Here is a 20,393-nt window from a genome sequence, read left to right as displayed (position 1 = left end):
AGGAGAATCGCTTGAACCCAGGAGGTGGAGGTTGCAGTGAGCCAAGATCACGCCATTGCACTCCAGCCTGGAAGACAGAGCGAGACTCCATCTTAAAAACAAACAAACAAAAAAACCCAGCTGAAATGGCAGATATGACCCACCTTCCCACCCAGCTCCCAACCTTCCTCCTCAGGAAGAGCTGGGCTCTCTGACTGTGTTGTTTCCTCGGCACCATCCCTGTTTCTAATACAGCCCTTATTGATTTGAAAGGTAGGTGGTGTGCTTAAAAGTCTCCTCCCCCACTAACTGTAAGTCCCTAAGAACAGGGACTATGACTTGATCATCTCTGTAGTGCCAGGGCCTAGAACCTTGCCTGGGACAGGGTAGATGCTAACTCATTGTGGAGTGCATGAATGAATGAGGGAGAGAGGGAACGGGAGAAGGAGGGATGGAAGTAGGAATGAAGGGAGGCAGAGAACCAATGTAAAAATTTTTTTTGAACTCTGAAGCACACTGAGAAAAAGGCTCTAGAATGAAAAGTAAATTAAGATGACTTAAAAAATAATACCAGAGATGTTTCTATAAATTTAACTAGAATCCAACTGATTACTGTGGTCACTGGGATTCTATCAAGCCATAAATCAAACTGAAAGTTCACCTATGTCTCAAGGGTGGCAACCTTCCGAAAGTAGGAGTGGCTTGGCTTCGTTCTTTTAAGTTCATGTGTTTTCGATATTTTACATGTTTGGTGGCTTCGATTACAAGAATGCAAGCCTAAATCTACTTTCTGTATAACCACATCCCTTTAGCAGCCTGCATTAGCAAATCATACTCTGGGCCAGAAAAAGAGAAGCATACCAATATGCTTTCTTCCTCTTAAGCAGTCTTCACAGTTTTTCTAGGCTGAGGTCACATCTTTAAACTTCATAAAACATTACTGCCTGATTGTTGAGTGGGATGGGAAGGGAGCGTTTAATTCAGCACCTGCAAGCTGCAACTGCCAGCAGATTTCTGCATTCAGAGGCATTTTGGTGTTTGTGTATGCATAGGACAGAAGGAAGAAATAAGCAGGCCTTTATCAGTATGTTCTTTTCTAAAGATCATTACTAGATTTGACCAAAGTTCTCATAACTATATTTAACAGTCTATCAGTGCTTTCTTGAGTGTTTCCTTAATGCTAGTAAATTCTAACTCTCACAAATTCCCATGGGCTACAGCAGTGCCATCTGGAATTTAGTTCCTTTTACTAATCTGTGATTTAAACATCAGAAAGATATTGCCATAATTCCCAAATAAACACTTAACATGTGTGGGAAGGTTCAGGATAATGGGCCTTCTGATGACCTAATAAAAAATGAAGGTGGTAAAATCATAAGCCAAAAAAAAAAAAAGCAGCCAGAGCCCACAGAGAAGCAGAGATTATCAGCAGATTTGTGCAGAGAAATCTGCATTAGAGCAAAAGAATGCTACTCGGGGATGAAGTGGTGAAAAAGTGGGGAAAAAAACAACTCACTGGGGTTATAAGTCATGAGAAAATTTGACCTCAGAAGGGTCCCAAAAGAGAGGAACGTATTCTCTGGTTAGTCATTCTGATGAGCTGAGTTGAAAAGTTATTTCAGAAAAAATTTCTGAAGAAACTCAGAACTTTTGACATCCCGAAATACTAAGTAGGAATATTTGTGGAAATTTTTGCATTTTGTAGTTGATCCTTAGGAGCAGGAGACAATTGTGTAAACACACTGCAGGACTAGGACTCAGGATGACTTTCTTTAGAAGGAGGAAGAAGATGAAATGTGTGAGAATGACAGGATTTTCACAAGTTTAAGACCTTTCTCCAATTGAAACGAAAGATAAATTAGGGGAAAAGGCTGAAGTTTTTCATCTAGATTCAGAAATGCTTTCAAAAAGCAACACATTCTAAATCTATCTAAAGATGCCACATGATCTTGTCGAAACGGTAATTTGACAAATTATTTTTAACAACAAAAATACTCAAGTGCTACATGAACAATTCACCCCTTCATCGTTGAAGAGAACTGCTGGTTCTCAGCAGTCCTGCAAAACACCTCACTGGCATGAGAAGAGGTATTTATGGTCTTTTAGAGATCTGCAGGAAATGTTTTTGAACTAATCTGTATTAACTACTGAAAAACTGGCAGGACAAGGCTGGGTGCGGTGGCTCACGCTTGTAATCCCAGCACTTTGGGAGGCCGAGGCAGGCAGATCACTTGAGGCCAGGAGTTCGAGACCAGCCTGGCCAAGATGGCGAAACCCTGTGTCTACTAAAAATACAAAAATTAGCCAGGCGTGCTCGTGCACGCCTGTAATCCCAGCTATTCAAGAGGCTGGAGCAGGAGAATTGCTCGAACCTAGGAGGCGGAGGTTACAATGAGCCGAGATCATGCCACTGCACTCCAGCCTGGGTGACAGAACGAGACTCCATCTTAAAAAAATAACAAAACTGGAAGGACAGAAGGCCAATGGGGTGTGGAGAGAGGATGACCACACCTTGTCTCTAATTTCTGCTTTGATGAGTACCTTGGGCAAGGGCATTTGGATAATGACTGGTTGTTTGCGGGTTTATATGTTGGAGGAGGAGGAATTTGAAAGCAGCATCAGTAGGTGGTTTACCGATATAGCTGCTCACCGTGAGCATTAAATACTGGGTGGATGAGTGTTGCAAAGCACAGCCTGCCCCAGGTTCCTCCATATGCTTCCTTCCTCCCTGGCTGCTGACTTCCAGCCTTATTCATCCTGGCCCTCAGTCTTTCAGTCGACGTCCATGTGGGCTTATAGACATCAGATGAATTAGACTTGCCCCCTGCCTGAAAGTTCACATTCTATTGGACAAGACTGATTAAAAAAATGACAGATTTTAAGTTCGTGGTAATTGCAAACTAGATATGGTGCTGTGGGTGTCAGGAAATCTCGTAGGAGGCAATGTTTGAGCCCTCCCTTTTGAGAGATGAATGAGCATTCCCTAGGTGCTGATGAGCATTTCATTTTGAAGGAGGTTATCTGGCCGTGGGTGTGACAGTGGTCCTGAGATATTGGAGTCATATTAGACAGCAAAACCGGCCAACAGAGTATCACGGAGGCATTGTATTTTCACTGGCGACCTTCACGCACCCTAATGGAGCCCTCATAATTCCTTTTTTTTTTTTTTTTTGATACAGAGTTTCGCTCTGTTGCCCAGGCTGGAGTGCAGTAGCATGATCTTGGCTCACTGCAACCTCTGCCTCTCAGGTTCAAGCGATTCTCCTACCTCAGCCTCCTGAGTAGCTGGGATTAGAGGCGCGTGCCACCATACCCGGCTAATTTGTGTATTTTTAGTAGAGATGGGGTTTCACCATGTTGGCCAGGCTGGTCTCGAACTCCTGACCTCAAGTGATCTGCCAGCACCCCTGACATTTTCTTCTCCAGGTGACAACAGCTTTGGCCTCTCAAAGTACTGGGATTATAGGCATGAGCCACTGTGCCCGGCCAGTCCTAATAATTAAGGCAATTTGACTATAAGTTTTGAGCATATTATATAATTTTCTTTCTTGTTCCAGTTTTATTTCTTAACTAAAATCAGGAATTTATCTATAACTGTATCTGAAAGATGCTGAGTAAAACAACAGCCACTGGCTGATTTTCTTCTCCTTAATTATACAAAATGAATTGCCTATGCAGTTATCCAAGAGCCTTAGTCAGTGTTAATCTAGTTAAAGCTACCTAGTTAAAGCTGTTTTACAATATTTTACACTCATTTCTTAGAAGTTATTCTCTTACCTTTGACCACAATTTCTACAAAACATGTACTTCAACTTTTAACTTCTAAAAACTTGCCTTCAAGTTTTAATTCTTTATTTCTAAGGTATCTTATTGTACCATGCCAGGTGTTAAATTCTGTAATTTAATTGCATCTTTATTCTTCAAGAAACTAATCTTATAGTCTTTTGTATATTTTCTCAGGTTTTATTTGCCCTGTGTCTTGTCTTTGCATATGTTTTGCGAAGAACACTCCCCCATATTTTTAGAACAATTTTCTTCATTTTTTTTCCTGAACAAATACATATTTGTGTGAGCATACATATATAGACATTTTGGGGGATTTTAACCCATTTATGACTGAGGTTGCAATTTTTTGAATTTTTGCAATCAGACCTTGGTGATGACCTTGAGCAGTAGGATATAAATAACTCCTACATGCTTGGTGTTCCAATAATGGAACACTAGGTATAAATTAATACGGTTCAAATGTGGCTGTGTAGTGATAAATATTGACATTTTTCCAAGTGCCTTCTTTATCTGAATACATTTGAGAAGCTTGTCAACCAAGATAATCCACACCTGATTCAGAAAAGTGGGATTAAGTCCACTGACTAAGGATGTGAAATGGATAATATTGTATACTCTATGCCTACATGGACACATTCACAGCTCTACAGATGACTCAAGGAATACTGCTTTATTTAGGATTTCTCACTTTGGGGCAGAAAATGGAAATTTTGTTTTTTTTTAGAGATCATTTTGAAATCCATCTCTTAGATCATGGTAATAAATAATGGCCTCCAAAGAACCACCATATATCTGATAGACCTAGGTTCTTAAATACAGCAATATTTTCCCTGTTGGCTAAAGTTGGCTTCATTGTATGCTGAAAGCATTCCTTTTTACCCTGTTTATGGATTTACAATATGGCCGCTGCTTGGAGATCACTTGACAATAGTCTACACCCTTGCTACTCAAAATGTGGTCCCTACACAGCAGCATGGGCATCAACTGGGTGCTTATGAGAAAGGTAATCATCACCCCAATGTCACACAGCTCAATCAGAATCTCTTTTTTGACACAATATCCTGGTGATTCATGTACACATTAAATTTGAGAACACTAGTCTGAACTCACAATTTTTGCCTCATAACCTCCCACTTATTCTTCAATCCATTGTTTTTAATCTGCCAGTCTTGCAAAAGACACTCATGACCTGTTAATAGCTAAACATGCACCAGGCTTCTCAGCCTTTGCTGTACATTTCCAGCATATACTATTGTGGTGGGTTTTCGGTTCTGTTGGTTCCTTTTAGAGTTATAGTTTGTTTCGCCCCAGAAAATTCTTTTAATGGGCATTGGCTCCCTGTACATTCTTTGGCCAGAGTGTATCTAGACAGCACCCGTACTAACAGGACTAGAAGCCCTGCTGCCCTATGAAGGGACCAGAGATGTTGTAACCTGGATAAGAAAATGTCATGGATGCCAGGATTACTGTTCTTAAGTGTCTGAAGGTTTCTGGAAGAGAAGGAATTTGAGTTTTTCAGTGAAGCTTTAGGAAAGCAGAAAATAGAAGCAATGGGCCAGACATGGCAACTCATGCCTGTAATCCCAGCACTTTGGGAGGCCAATAAGACCAGGAGTTCAAAACCAGCCTGGGCAATGTAGCAAGACCCTGCCTCTACAAAGATTTAAAAATTAGCTAGACATGGTGGCGCGTGCTTATAATCCCAGCTACTGGGGAGGCTGAAGTGGGAGGATCCCTTGAGTCCAGGAGTTTGAGGCTGCAGTGAGTTATGATTGAGAGAGCAAGACCCTGTCTCTCAAAAAAACGAAAGAAAATTGAAGCAGTGAATCAGTAGAAGTTAGAGACAGATTTTGCATTTGTATAAAAAATACATTTTTAAAGAATTTGAATATTCTAACAAGAAGTGTAATTCTTTCAACTGTATGTAGCAAACTGACCATTCTTAGAGCACAGACGGTGTTCAAACCAAGGCCACCAGAGGTACTGAAGAGTAGGGGTCAGAAAGAGGACTGGGGGATTTCCCCTAATTTTTCTCACTAATCCTTATTGCTTTTTTATTGCAAAAAGGAAAGAATATTGTTATGCATACTCAAATTGTTTTTTTTCCCCTGTTAAACCATGATTATACATAGATTTTGTCTCCCTCTCTCGTGGGTATTAGAACCCTGCATGGTTTTCTCTGTGTGGTGGGGCCATAGCTTTCTTCTAGGATAGTTATTAAAATGCATACCACTTTCAATTGTGTATCCGGCATTCTTTCCGTGATGTTCAGTGCCTCGCTAGTCATTTTCATTTAAAGAGACCCAAATACTTCCATAGAACAGTACATAGAAATTCCTGGGTCAATAATTAAGTTGTAACTAATAGCTCATAGTCAGACATCATGTTATTACAGGTAAGATTATCTTCCACCTGTATCGTTTTTCACAGACCTACAGACATGAACGTATTTGTATTTTCCTGCCCCCCCCTCAAAATTTTATGAAATTTATTTCATTTGAGTCCTTTATGTCTGGTTTTTTCATTCTGTAAACCTAGAGAATACTTATTAACTTGAACATTAAGCCATAAACCTGCTGTATTTACCATAGTTGGTATTTGTTCTATTGGGGAAGTCAAGAGTTAAGATATTAAATCATTTGAAGTATCTGACACTCTTCCAAAACTGCCACCATCCTAGTTCAAACATCATCAGCATTTCGCACCTGGACCCATGCAGCTGTCTCCTAACTAGTCTTCCTGCTTCTTCTCTTGACCCTGTTTCCAGGCTATGCATGCTCCTTACCAACTAACATCCCATAAGCAGAATCAATCTGGGTTTAAGGGAGAAGCAATGTTAGACATTAAGCTAACGTTAGGATGAGACTTTGGAACGTGACTAAGAAATCTCTGGGTTATGCTAACTCTCCTCGGAATTATCTAGATTAAATTTCTTGCTACCAAAAAAGACATTATCTATGCCTTTATTGAAAATATTGTTAAGTAGCAGATACAGATGTGAGCTCTTTTTCATGTCCACGGGCCCTTCTTCTGTGTGTGTAGCTGGAAGGCTTTGAACAAACAAGCAGCGGAAACATGCAGAATGCCTGCAGAAAAACTGAGGCACAGGCAGCGGCACAAGGAATTTTATTTTTAGAGTCCACCCTGTGAACAGGGTCTTGTGATGTTCATGGGCAGGATGGTAGGTGTGCTGGGAGTCACTGCATTCCTCTACTCCCAGCTCAAAGAAGGGGAGAAAGAGCCATTCAGTGGGGAGCGTTCCCAGCATCCTCCTCCCTGCCACAGCAGCCAGAGGCAGGGAGCTGGCCGGCCTTTCCTTTAACTCTTTGAGTGCCCTGACAAAACCTTTTTTCTAGGTCACGTCAGTGTTCTTGTATTTTCAAAAAGTGTATTCGTGTGTTGAGAGTTGAACATGGAGAGAAAATTAATTTTCTTCCCAACAATTTGTGTTGGTGAAATACATGATTATATTTATCCCATTTTTAATACTCTGATATAGGAAAGGGAAAAATAGTCATCTTCGTCTATTCAATTTAAAGGAACTTTTCTAAACAAGATACATAATAGATGCCGAAGCTCCAATTAAGTTGCTCAAAAAAAAAAAAAAAAAAAAAACTTTAATGACTGCCAAGTGTATGCCCGCTGCTGCCCTGTCAGTATTCTGAACAGGAAACATTATGTTCCAGCCAAATACCACTTACACTGGTCTTCATTTTAAGAGCAATTTATTTCCATTAATGTGAAAATGAATATTTGTTGCCAGAATTTCTAAGGAGCATGATAATGGATCAAAATGCTAAAATAAGCAGTCGGTGCTCTGCGGCATGGTTGATGGATGAGTGTCTTTAAATCAGCTTCCAAATCTGTGGTTCTTAGTCTTATTGAAAATTAGAATCACCTGATTCCAAAAATCCTGATGGCCACCCTACACCCCAGACCAAGTAAATTAGGATCTCTGGGCTGAGGACTCAGACTTGCTGCTTTTCAAAGCCCCCAGGTGATTACAATGTGCAGCCAAGGCTGTGAATTATTCTTTAAGTGACTAGGCTTTGCAGCTGCACTTCATTGAGCCGTAACTTCTCTAACCAGAACTCCCTGGTGTAGGTGCTGGTGAGGGGTGTGCAAGGTGTGGATACCTGTCCATGTTGGAGTGCATGGGGTTGGAAGTTCTACTTTCTGCTGCTGGATTGGGAGCTGCTGATTTCCAAACTGTGGTGGCATGGACTAGGTCCTCCTTCCAGCACAATCTCAAGATATCTGTGGGAGTTCTTTGGCTTCTGTCAAAGTGTCAGGAGCCTTCCTTATAACCCTGACACCATGAACAGAGACTTTTCTGGGCATGGGAGAGTCAAGGGTTCTCATATATACATATATATATGTATATATGTATGTACACACACGTGTATATATACATATATATGTGTATTTCAGAGCGGTTTTAGATTTACAGCAAAACTCAGCAGAAGGTACAGAGACTGCCCATAAACTCCTTACCCTCCCACAAACACAGCCTCCTCTGCTGTTAATATACTGATCTAGAGTGGTGCATTTGTTACAATTGGTGAACCTTACATTGACACATCATTATCACCTGATGCCCATAGCTTACATTAGGGTTCATTCTTGGTGTTGTGTATTTTATGGGTTTGGACAAATGTATAATGACATGTATCCACAATTATAGTAGTATATTGTACAGCATAGTTGCACTGCCCTAAAAATCTTGGTTCTCTGCCTATTCATCCCTCCTCACAACCCTTGGCAACCACTTATCCTTTTGCTTTTTCCATAGTTTCTCTTTTTCAGAATGTCACAGCCTTTTCATACTGGCTTCTTTCACTTAACAGTGTACATTTAAGTTTCCTTCGTGTCCTTTCATGGCTTGATGGCTCATTTCTTTTTAGCCCTAAATAATAATGAATTGTCTGTCTGTACCACAGTTTATTTATCCACTTACATCCTGAAAGACATCTTGGTTGCTTCCAAGTTTTAGCAATTATGAATAAAGCTGTTATACACATCTGTGTGCAAGTTTTGTGTGGACATAATAATTCACTTCATTTGGGTAAATACCAAGGAGTGCAAATGGTGGGTTGTATAGCAATAGTATAAACGTTTAGTTTTATCATAAACCACCAGACTGTCTTGCAAAGTGGCTGTATCATTTTGCATTCCCATTATCAATGAATGAGACTTCCTGTGGTTCCACATCCTTACTGGCCTTTGATGGCGTCAGTGTTTTGGATTTCAGCCATTCGAATAGGTGTGTAGTGGTATCTCAATTTTTTTTTTGTTTTTGTTTTTGTTTTGAGACAGAGTCTTGCTCTGTTACCCAGGCTGGAGTGCAGTTTCGCGATCTTGGCTCACTGCAACCTCCGCCTCCCGGGTTCATGCCATTCTCCTGCCTCAGCCTCCCGAGTAGCTGGGACTACAGGTGCCTGCCACCATGCCCGGCTAATTTTTTGTATTTTTAGTAGACACGGGGTTTCACCGTGTTAGCCAGGATGGTCTCGATTTCGTGACCTCATGATCTACCCGCCTCGGCCTCCCAAAGTGCTGGGATTACAGGCGTGAGCCACTGCGCCCAGCCGTATCTTAATGTTTTAATTTGCAATTCCCTGATGACAGATGATGTTGAGCATCTTTTGTTCTTTTTCTTTTTCTTTTTTTTTAGAGACAAGGTCTCTGTCACCCAGGCTGGAGTGCAGTGTCATGAGCATAGCTCACTGCAGCCTTCAGCTTTCTGGGCTCAGGTAGTCCTTCTACCATGACTCCTGGCCTTAAGTGATCCTCCTGCCTTGGCCTCCCCAAGTGCTGGGATTACAACAGTGAGCCACTTTGCCTGGCCCCATGAACATGTTTTCATATGCTTACTTGCTATCTGTATATCTTCTTTGATGAGGTATCCATTCAGGTCTTTGGCCCATTTTTTAATCTCATCGTTTGTTTTCTTATTTTTTAGTTTTAAGTATTCTTTGTATATTTTGGATAACACTCTTTAACAGATATGTCTTTTGCAAATATATTCTCTCAGTCTGTGGCTTGTCTTCTCATTCTCTTCACAGTCTTGACAATTTTTTTTGCTGAGCAGAAATTTTTAGTTTTAATAAAGTCCAGCTTATAATTCTTTTATTATGCCTTTGATATTGTATCTAAAAAGTTATGATGATACCAATGGTCATTTAGATTTTCTTCTATGTTATTTTCCAGGAGTTTTATAGTTTTTCATTTTACATTTAGAACTATGATCCATTTGAGTTAATTTCTGCAGAGGGTGTAAGGTCTGTATCTTTGTGTTTTTTTTGTTTTTGTTTTTTGTTTTTTTTTTCATGTAGAGGTTCAGTTGTTCCAGCACCGTTTGTTGAAAAGATTATCCTTGTTTCATTATATTGCCTCTGCTTCTTTGTCAAACATCAGTTGACTGTGTTTATGTGGATCTATTTCTGGGGCTTCTATTCTGTTCCGTTGATCTATTTCTGTAGTCTTTCACCTACACCACACTGTCTTGTTATAGAGCTTTAGAGTAAGTTTTGAAATCAGGTAATGTCAGTTTGTTCTTCTTCAATATTGTGTTGGCTCTTCTGGTCTTTTCCCTCTCCACATAAACTTAGGAATCAATTTGTCAATATCCACCAAATAACTTGCTGGGATTTTGCTTGAGATTGCATTGAATATATAGGTCAAATTTTGAAGAACTGACATCTTGACAACATTGAGTCTTCCTATCTATGAACATGGAATATCTCTCAATTTATTTAGTTCTTTTTTGGTTTCTTTTATTAGGGTTTTATAGATTTCCTCATATAGTTTTTATCCGTATTTGGTGAGATTTATACCTAAGTACTTCATTTTTGGGGGTGCTAATGTAAATGGCATTGTGTTTTTAATTTCAAATTCCACTTGTTTATTGCAGACATATAGAAAAGCAATTTACTTTTGCATATTAATCTTGAATCCTGAAACCCTGCTATAATTGCTTATTAATTCTAGGAGGGTTTTTGTTATTGTTGATTCTCTTGGGTTTTGTACATAGATGATCCTGCCATCTGTGAACAAAGACAAGTTTTATTTCTTGTCTCCATCAGTATACTTTTTATTTTTTTCTCATTTTATTTCATTAGCTGGGATTTCCAGTATGATGTTGAAAAGGAGTGGTGACAGGGGACAGCTTTGCCCTTTTCTTCACCTTAGTGGGAAAGCTAGTTTCTCACCATTAAGTATGATGTTAGCTATAGGGTTTTTTTTTTTTTGTAGGTATTTGAACACTTTTATTATTTTGATTTGACTGCAAATTATCAACATCTTATTCAGGCTTCTCCAGCTGTGAAGTTAGCAATTAGAAGTGGTTGTGATTGAAACATTATCTATAATTCAATTTTGAATTGATAATATATAAATCAATAATTTGAATTTTGCTCCCATACCAAATGGGCATGTGTATGTTTATTTGTATGCATAATAAATTGTATAGGAAAACGCTTAGAGTGAAATACCAAAATGGTTAGTATCTCCGTGTGCTAGCTAATAACAGGTCATTTTAATATGTATATTTATTTGCTACTAAGGACTAAATATATTATATTTTTGAGGGTTGTCAACCATTAAATTGTTTATCATTTGCCTGGATATAGTTTCATTATTTCTTACATTTAGTTAAGAGGCTCACATTGCTACTGTCATGGTCTATATCGACAACCAAGACAGTCTTATTGATGGAAAAGCAAGTGCATATATTATAATGAAATGTGGTGAGAACTATTGGGAATTCAACATGAAGAAGTAAATAGTCTCTCCAGGAGTGAAAAAAATTCACCATCTTAATGTGACCCTCATTTTCAAAACAAGTAAAAAATCTAGCTCTCGTACAGAGCAGTAGGATCCAATTAAATGGTAGAAAATTGCCCCTTTGTAATTTAGCACTCAAGCTCCTTCTCAGAAGTCTGGTTTATTTATGATGACAGGCACAAAGGGAAGATTCAGAGCAGTTTAAGAAAATAACTTATGTAGCACTTTTTCTAAAAGTAAGCTAACATAAAAACTCACTCGAGAATCCAAGGAAAAATGTCATCTGGTTAATGGTGGGATTATGGATGGTGGAATTTCAGGTAACATTTCTTCTTTTTTTAAATCTTTCTTTTTTTTTATTGTCTCAGTCTTGCTCTTAAATAAATCACACGGAGGTAGAAAGAGCTGGGGAGAAGTCTTTCAGATATGACGACCTGGTTTAAGCCAGTTTCCAAAGAGTATTTGGGACTTTTAGTCCAGGACTCAGGGGACACGTGGTCTGCATTATAAAACCAGCTCTGGCTTGTTGATGTCTAAAAGAAACTTGACGTGACATGAATATTTTCAGTAAGAAATCATAAGTAAACAGCAGAAATTCAAGAAGACAAAGATCAGCCCTTGGAGGAAGATGTAGATTCCAAAAAAGGAAAACCAAGATTAAAGGTGAAAGAGGGGGAAGGTAAAAAGAAGGGAAAAACACTTCACCTCCCCCGTCCCCAGCCCCGCTGTGCACACTCCCACACAAACAAGAAATGACCAAAGAAAAGACGAAAAATTGCAGCAAGATGAAATGCAATTTACTGTGAAGAGCGAGGGCTGGAGTTTAAAAGCTGTCTGATTCTACTCCATGCCATTTGTAAAATTTCCATCATTACCTTGGCTGGGAGATTTGGAAAAAGCAGCTTGTGTCTGAGAATAATTTGAAGAACATGCAGGGCTGGGGTCTTCATCCTGTGGAAGCCCCGGGGCCAAGCCACCTAGAGTAGCAGCTGTAAAGAGGGGCTCCTGCTGAGTTTCTTGGCAGCTACAGGCCCCTGCTGCCACTGCCCATGGAAGGGACAGCTAATGGTGCAGGAACTGCCGCTTGCTTAGGGCCCAACCAGGACACTTGAGAATGAATGGGGGGATCTACTAGAAATGACAATGAGATCATACATATCATGGGATAACAGACATCTAAGACTGTTTGAAGCAAACTGGAATATTTATTCAGCTGGAAAATTTCTGCACCTTCTACGGGGCTTGCCATTAGCTGCCCTGGTCTGCCCCCTTCAGACCCCCCAAAATAGTGACTGCAAATGTTGGTTGTGTCCATATGGTCTAGGACCTCTCTTGAAGATGCTCTTTAACTACAGACTTTTTTAAGGCACTAAAGGGTCTACTGAAAAGAATGAAACTCATCTTACTGATTCCATACTTCCTGTTTATCGAATAGGAAAAGTATGAGAAAAAAGTACAGGAAATAAGAAAAATGTCTGTAAGTGATTGACAGTACCCTGGGGTGGGAGTGAGGGGTGAATGTCCCCCTGACCCATGGCCCACTCTCTAGTCGTGGCTGATGTTCATTGACACCTCTTTGTTGTTAAGCCCTTTCTGTGACAAAGACTATTGTTATTGTTGGTTGACAGGTGAGGAAATGGGCTCAGGGTGTTGAGGGCTGCACAGAGCAAGTGTGGATTTGGGCATTCTGACACCAGCCAGCTACACCCCAGGCATAGCAGGCAGGAGCGACACCATGGCCATTTGTAATGCCTGGTCAGCACTGACTACTGATAGGCCACATTTACTTCTACATCCCTTTATTTCTATATCTCCTTCAGACACCATTACTTTGTCAGGGGAGCTCCACTGACGAATCAGTTCTGTCTGTTGTACTGTTCAAAATGCCCTGTGTCATGTCGTCAACACACTTACCACAGTGTGCATTTGTTTTTGTACGTTTATTTGATTGTCTCTTCTCTTGCTAGATCATAAGCTTTCTGAGGGCAGGAACCTAGTGTGCATGGGTGTGTGTGTGTGTGTGTGTGTGTGCACGCGTGTGTGTGTTTGGATGACTTTTGTATCCCTTGGACCTTAGCACTTAGTATCCCTTGGCACTTAGTAGGGATTTCATGAACATTGGCTGCACTGATGACTGAACCGGTCCCTGCTTTGGAGCTGACGTGGCTACAGGTTCCTTAGGCCATCAGCCGTCTGTTCCAAGTAGAGCTAGCTGTATGTGGTACCCTGACTGTTCTCACCAGCACTTCAGCTCATTAGCTCTTTCTGTTTCTGATGGCTAATATACATATAGAAGCGAATGCTACAAATTCAGGAGCTTATATAGTCTCCTTGAAATGAATAATTTTGCTAATGCCTTTGCCAGATCTGCATTTTGTGCTCCTCATTGCCTCCAAATACTGTCTGTTGCTGTGGTGATGATCTGTGGACTCTTGGGCTGAGTGCCAGTTGGAAGACTCTTTTTATTATTCAGAAGCCTTTTCCACAGGTTGTCTTCTGTTTGTTTGTTTGTCTCTCATTTTAGCAATGTGAATTAGAAGCTGTCTCCTTACCATCAAATGCCTCCTCTGCCGGGTATTTCTGTTAAAACAGTCAGGTCCCTTGGAGGACACAGACAAGCAGGTCCGCAGCTATAAGGTCTCAAGTAGAGAGAGCTTTGCCAGGAAGAGGTACCGAAACTCCCCTTGGACCAGGGAAGTAGGGGATCCAAGCGATACGTTACAGGAGAGGATGCATTTAGTCGGGCATGGTAGAATGCATAAAGACACAAGTAAAATGAAATTTCTTTCTCCCTAATAAGAAAAGTTTTTACTGAAAAGTGTTCCCAAAAAATGATTGTGCAATTTATTTTTCTCCCTGTAAACTTCCTGTGGAAAGACCAGCTGGGCAGAGCGATAAGCCATTTCTCATTCGGTGGGTGGTGGTGTACATGTCCATTCTTAGGTAGTGGAGCAATTTTTTCTGGTAAAAAGAAACTCCTATATTATGCAATTGCAAAGCAGCCAGGAATGTCCCTTCTTCCCAGGCCCTGCATCCTGAAATTCTACCACTTCTCAAGGCTTACTGTGAAGCTGTTGCCCTGAATGGCCTTCTCCATTACTCCTGTAAGAATCAGCCACTCCTTGTCCTCTGCTCCCAAAGAACATTTACATCTATTTCATTTGACTTTGCACTTCTGCTGCTCACATGTCCAGCCATTGCACTTGAAGGTTATCAGCCCATGAAGGGCTGATGCTGATTTCTTTGACCCCTTCTCAGTACTTTGCACAGTATAGACAATCATGTGTGTTAAAATCAACATGTGGGAGAACAGAGTAAAGGGAGTTCTTAATTCCATGGTGCTATGATGGATGGAAGCTGAGGCGAAGAAACCGGAGCCTCCTGGGCAGCGTGATAAGAAGCCGTCAAAGGGCTCCTTGGAGGGACTTAGTATGTGATACATGGCGGGGGCTGCCCTCTCCTTTCCTTTCTGGTCTGTTGTCTCTATTCAGCAGGCTTATCTCATTTTCCCCATTGTGGGGCTGGTGAGGGTCTTTGGTTCCCTGTCTTCATCTCTGTGTGGCTGGCCTTTTTTTCAACTTTTATTTTAGTTTCAGAGGATACATGTGCAGGTTTGTTACGGGGTGAATTGAGTGTCACTGAGGTTTGGTGTACGAATGATCCCATCACCCAGGTGTAGTGAGCATAATATCCAATAGGTAGTTCTTCAACCCTCGCCCCCTTCCCACCCTCCCGTCTCTAGTATCCCCAGTGTCTATTCCTATTTTTATGTCCATGTGTACTTAATGTTTAGCTGTCATTTACAAGTGAGAACATGCAGAATTTGGTTTTCTGTACTTGCAGTAATTTGCTTAGGATATTGGCCTCCGTCGATAGCCTTCTTTTAAAGAGACATTTATATAATCACATCTAAGTTTATATATATATATATATATACACACACATATATATATGTAAAATTAATTTGTCACATTAAAAAAATAACAACATGGCTGTACACAGTGGCTCATATCCGTACCTGTAATCCCAACACTTTGGGAGGCTGAGGTGGGAGGATCACTTGAGTCCAGGGGTTTGAGACCAGCCTGGGCCAATTAGCAAGACACTGTCTCTAGAAAAAATATGTAAAACATTAACCAGGAGTGGTGCTGCATGCCTGTAGTCTCAGCTACTTGGGAGGCTGAGGTGGGAGGATCAGTTGAGCCCAGTGAGCTATGACCATACCATTGCACTCCAGCCTGAGTGACAGAGTGAGACTCTGTCTCTAAAACAACAACATTAGTTTTCCTAGAGTATGCGAATTCCTTTACTGATAGATTTAATCAATTGGAAGAAAGAAAGAAAAAAGAACCAGACTCTTTCATTATAGTCAGTGAAGTCCAGCCACCTGTCTGTCAGCAGTTAAAAGATCAGTTAACAATGAATAGTTTTAATCTTATTCATTTCCTCTAATAATTCTCAAGAAAGAAGTCTCAAACCCCCTTAAATGGATTGTTGGACTTAAATGGAATGTCAACACGTACGCTAGGAATGAAATTATTTACTGGCAGAATCATTTATACATCTGTCATGTCAACAGAATTACAGATACTATTAGAAGAAGTAAATTTGAACAAAAACTATTGCACATTTTGACTAGATGAAATTATTAGGTGTCGAAAGTGAGCTTAACAGAGTAGAAAGAAAGGGTATGGCCTCTTTTAGAGATGTTGAATCCTGACTGTGAGAGGTTTCCATTCGTTGACACATTAAGAATCTTGGAGCACTGTGGAGCTCCCAGGCGCTCACCCACACTTCTTAGATCCAACTGGATTTAAGACCACGAGAAATGACAGCCATAATTACAAGAGGAAAACCCTCCAAACTAGCTTGCTTACCAGGATGAGCAACGATTTCTGCCCATAAATAGTATGCAACTGGATTTCATTTAATTTAGTTTCTACAGGAGTAGAAAGAAAAAAAAATACTGATTTTCTTTCTACAGCAATAATGGTATAGTGTTTCTTACTTACAATTATATTTCTATGGCATGCAAGATAATGCTTTTTTGATAAGGAATGCATACATCATGTGGTGCCAGACATTAGCATTCTTTATTTTTTAACATAGGATGAAATTATCATGCTTTTTTTGTTTGTTTTTTTAGAGATAGGTTCGTGCTCTGTCACCCGGATTGGAGTACAATGGCACGATCATAGCTCACTGTAACCTTGAACTCCCGGGCCCAAGCCATCCTCCTGCCTCAGCTCCTTAGTAGCTGGGACTGCAGGCACGCACCACCACACCCAGCTATTTTTAACACTTTTTATAGAGATGGGGTCTGACTTTGTTGCTCAGGCTGGTCTCAAACTCCCGAACTCAAGCGATCCTCTGCCTCAGCCTCGCAAAGTGCTGGGAATTACAGGCTTGAGCCACCTCACCCGGCCTATCATGCTACATTTTTCTTCTCTGAAAGATAAGGACTCCTAACACAGTACCTTATCATACTTAAAATAATTCATTTCTTGATATCATCAAATATCCTGTCAGTTTTCAAAATTTTGATTATCTCATAAATGCCATGATTTTTTAAAGTTTACTTTTGTAGAATCCAACCAAGGTCCACACATTACAGTTGACTATGTTCCTTAAGTCTCTTTTAATATCTAATTTCTACTTTCATCTCCTCTTCTCCCCTGTGATGTTTTTGTTAAGGAATTCAGGTCATTTTTCCTGTAGAATTTTCTAGAGTCTAAGTTTTTCTGTATCACCATGTTACACTGCTTTAATAACTATTAATGCTTATGTAAACATAATTCATATAAATGACAGTTATTTCCCTAGCCAGAGTGAGAAATACCTCCTCTTAATCAGAACAACCTCAAGCATGAGTTAAACTACCATAGCCATTTTTGCTACTGAACATCATCAGAGAATGTGAAGTTCTCCCTGTCCTCTTTCTGTTTTCCATGTGAAGAGGTTGTAGAGGTATAGGACGATTAGGTAAGAGTATGTCACTCAGCATCCACATCTGTGAGGAACAGTTGGATTTTCTTCAAAAATTATCACAAATCAACTCCTATAACCTTATGTAACTTAAACAAGTGCCAATTAAATGAGGCAGATTATTGGTTTGGGTTGTGAGGGAGGATGCTCCCATAAGAATCTTACAGTTACAAAGGGCTACTCTGTGTGACCGAGGAACTTCACTGAAGCATAAATGAATGAAGCTTTGATGGTTTAATTAAAACTAAATATGAGAGACCAAAAAAACAAATGACATAGACCTTAACCACAATAAAACTGTAATAAGCTTCACAAAAGCCTGTTCATATATTCATGAGCAGCCTTTTCAGTATCTAATTAAAATAGATTTATTACTTAAGGACTGAAATGTTTTATACAAAATGAGTTTATAGAGATCTAAATTTATGCATATAGACTCAAACCCAGCACACCTTCATGAAATATAACCATTTCAAGGAGAAAAATAGTTTGCCGTGGCGATACAGAAATTTTTACCAACAAACTAGCCTCCTATCCCATTGCCTTTTTTTTTTTTTTTTTTTTTTTCCGAGACAGAGTCTCGCTTTGTTGGCTAGGCTGGAGTGCAGTGCCATGATCTCTGCTCACTGTAACCTCCGTCTCTCGTGTTCAAGCAATTTTCCTGCCTCAGTCTCCCAAGTAGCTGGGATTACAGGTGTGTGTCACTGCACCTGGCTAATTTTTTGTATTGTTAGTAGAGACAGGGTTTCACCATTTTGGCCAGGCTGGTCTCGAACTCCTGACCTCAGGTAATCCACCTGCCTCAGCCTCCCAGAGTGCTGGGATTACGGTGAGGTGAGCTACCGCACCCAGCCCCCATTTCTATTTATAATGTATAGCATGTCCCTGTCACATAATAAACTTTACGGTTCATTTTGACTTATACATTTCTTATATACTCTTTATAGGTCATTGACCTGTTGTATTGCTGTTACCATGACATTAAAACATAAATTTTTGAATGGATAGGCAAAGTCTGGAGGATTTTTAGGGCAGAGGATTTTTAGGGTGTTATGGTCTCATACTCTGTATGATCCTATAATTATGATACTTTAGTGGTAGATACATATCATGATAAATTTATCTAAACCCAAAGAATGTACAGCATCAAGAGTGAACCCTAATGTAAACTATGGACTTTGTGTGACTATGATGTGTCAATGTAGGCTCATCAGTTGTAAAAAATGTACCACTCTGGTGGGGGATGTTGACAATGGGGGAGGCTGTGTGTGTGTGAGGGCATCAGGTATATGGGATGTCTTTGTACCTTCCTCTCAATTTTGCCATGAACCTAAAACAGCTCTAAAAAAAAAGGTTTTTTTTGTTTGTTTTTTGTTTTTTAACTTAAAGACAAAAAAAAGTTAAGGCATAAATCAGGCTCTGTTTTAACTTGGAAGGAGAATAACACTTTTTTGGGTAGGACCTATTTGTACTTTTCTAATAAGCAAAATTATGTAGGAGACTGCTATGCTCATATCAGGAAAATATCTCTTCATAAAGTACTTGGTATGCACCAGAAGATATAAACTGTGATTTACCCACTTTTTTTGTGAAGTGATATGAGGGATTCACTTGAAGACAACCCAGTGACAGTATTTGCAGGGCTCCCTCAATAGCACTTACTAAACCATCATCGAATGCTGTGTGCTTGAAGCTGGACGTGGTGGCTTATGCCTGTAATCCCAGTACTTTAGGAGGCCAAGAAAGGAGGACTGGTTGAGACCAGGAGTTCAAGACCAGCCTGAAACATAGTGAGACACTGTATCTACAAAAAATAAATAGAATTAGCTGGGCATAGTGGTGCATGCCTATAGTCCTAGGTACTTGAGAACTGAGGTGGGAGGATCGCTTGAGCCCAGGAGGTCGAGGATGCAGTGAGCCGTGATTATGCCACTGTACTTCAGCCTGGGTAACAGAGCAAGACCCTGTCTCAAAAAAGAAAAAGTACTATGTGCTTGAAAGTGGATTTTTTGTTAGTCCAGTCCATTTTGTGACCAAGAACATTCATTTGTAAGATTGGGATTTTAATGTCTATTTAAGGCTTTTGCCTGTGGCCACTAAGCAGAATAAAGTTCAAATCTAGTCTAGATCTTCCCTCTTTTCATATTTTCCTTTACCTCTATTGTAGGCAGATAAGAGTTCAAAAAATGGTGTTTTTGATGCTTAGGAGGCTTACATCTTGCTTCTGTTGCTGTAGTTGTAAGCGTTGTTACTATCACAAGTAAAAGGAATGCTAAAATGAATTCCTTTTAGTGAAAAAGAAGACAAATTGGCGTCACGACATGCAGAAGCTCAGGTGGTGCTACTTTCAGGCACATTTCCAGTGATGTCACTCAGGCGTGTTTCAGCTGTCCCTGGAGAGGGCTTTCCTTTCTGTTGGCTACCAGCTGTCTATCAGCAAGTCACTACCTGAAGTGAAGGAGGAGATCGGTGTTCTTCCTTTCACCTCATCACTTCCTTGTCTTTGCCATTAATTACTTCCCTCCTTGTTTTCTTTTTGTTTGTTTGTTTGTTTTGTTTTGTTTGAGACGGAGCCTCGCTCTGTCACCCAGGCTGGAGTGGAGTGCTATGATCTCAGCTCACTGCAACTTCCACTTCCCGGGTTCAAGTGATTCTTCAGCCTCAGCCTCCCTAGTGGCTGGGACTACAAGCGCCCGCCACTGTGCCTGGCTAGTTTTTGTATTTTTGGTAGAGACGGTATTTCACCATGTTGGTCAGGCTGGTCTCGAACTCCTGACCTCGAGTGATTTGCCTGCCTCAGCCTCCCAAAGTGCTGGGATTACAGACGTGAGCCACTGCGCCTGGTACTTCTCTCCTTC

The 20,393-nt window shown here is 40.3% G+C and overlaps 1 protein-coding gene across 10 annotated transcripts in view, besides 2 other annotated features; it reads left to right on the top strand.

The window, feature by feature from the left end:
- MAP3K5 (mitogen-activated protein kinase kinase kinase 5) overlaps positions 1–20,393 on the top strand; it is a 236,046-nt gene that overhangs the window by 40,568 nt on the left and 175,085 nt on the right. The gene's annotated exons all lie outside the window — the stretch shown is intronic.
- Positions 797–896: an enhancer, noted in NCBI's record as "active region_25117". NCBI's record gives its function as "activates an Ori minimal core promoter by ATAC-STARR-seq in GM12878 lymphoblastoid cells {active_cell/tissue: GM12878}" and the evidence as "EXISTENCE:reporter gene assay evidence [ECO:0000049][PMID:35858748]".
- Positions 7,332–7,501: an enhancer, noted in NCBI's record as "experimental_90334 CRE fragment used in MPRA reporter constructs". NCBI's record gives its function as "activates a minimal promoter by MPRAs in K562 erythroleukemia cells, with activity observed for the introgressed 6:137066246 variant allele {active_cell/tissue: K562}" and the evidence as "EXISTENCE:reporter gene assay evidence [ECO:0000049][PMID:34662402]".

This window comes from Homo sapiens, chromosome 6, assembly GCF_000001405.40.
Source record: "Homo sapiens chromosome 6, GRCh38.p14 Primary Assembly".
In the NCBI taxonomy this organism is placed as follows: Eukaryota; Metazoa; Chordata; class Mammalia; order Primates; family Hominidae; genus Homo; species Homo sapiens.
Note: the sequence above shows the minus strand (reverse complement) of the source record. Positions and strands in the feature narration are given on the sequence as shown.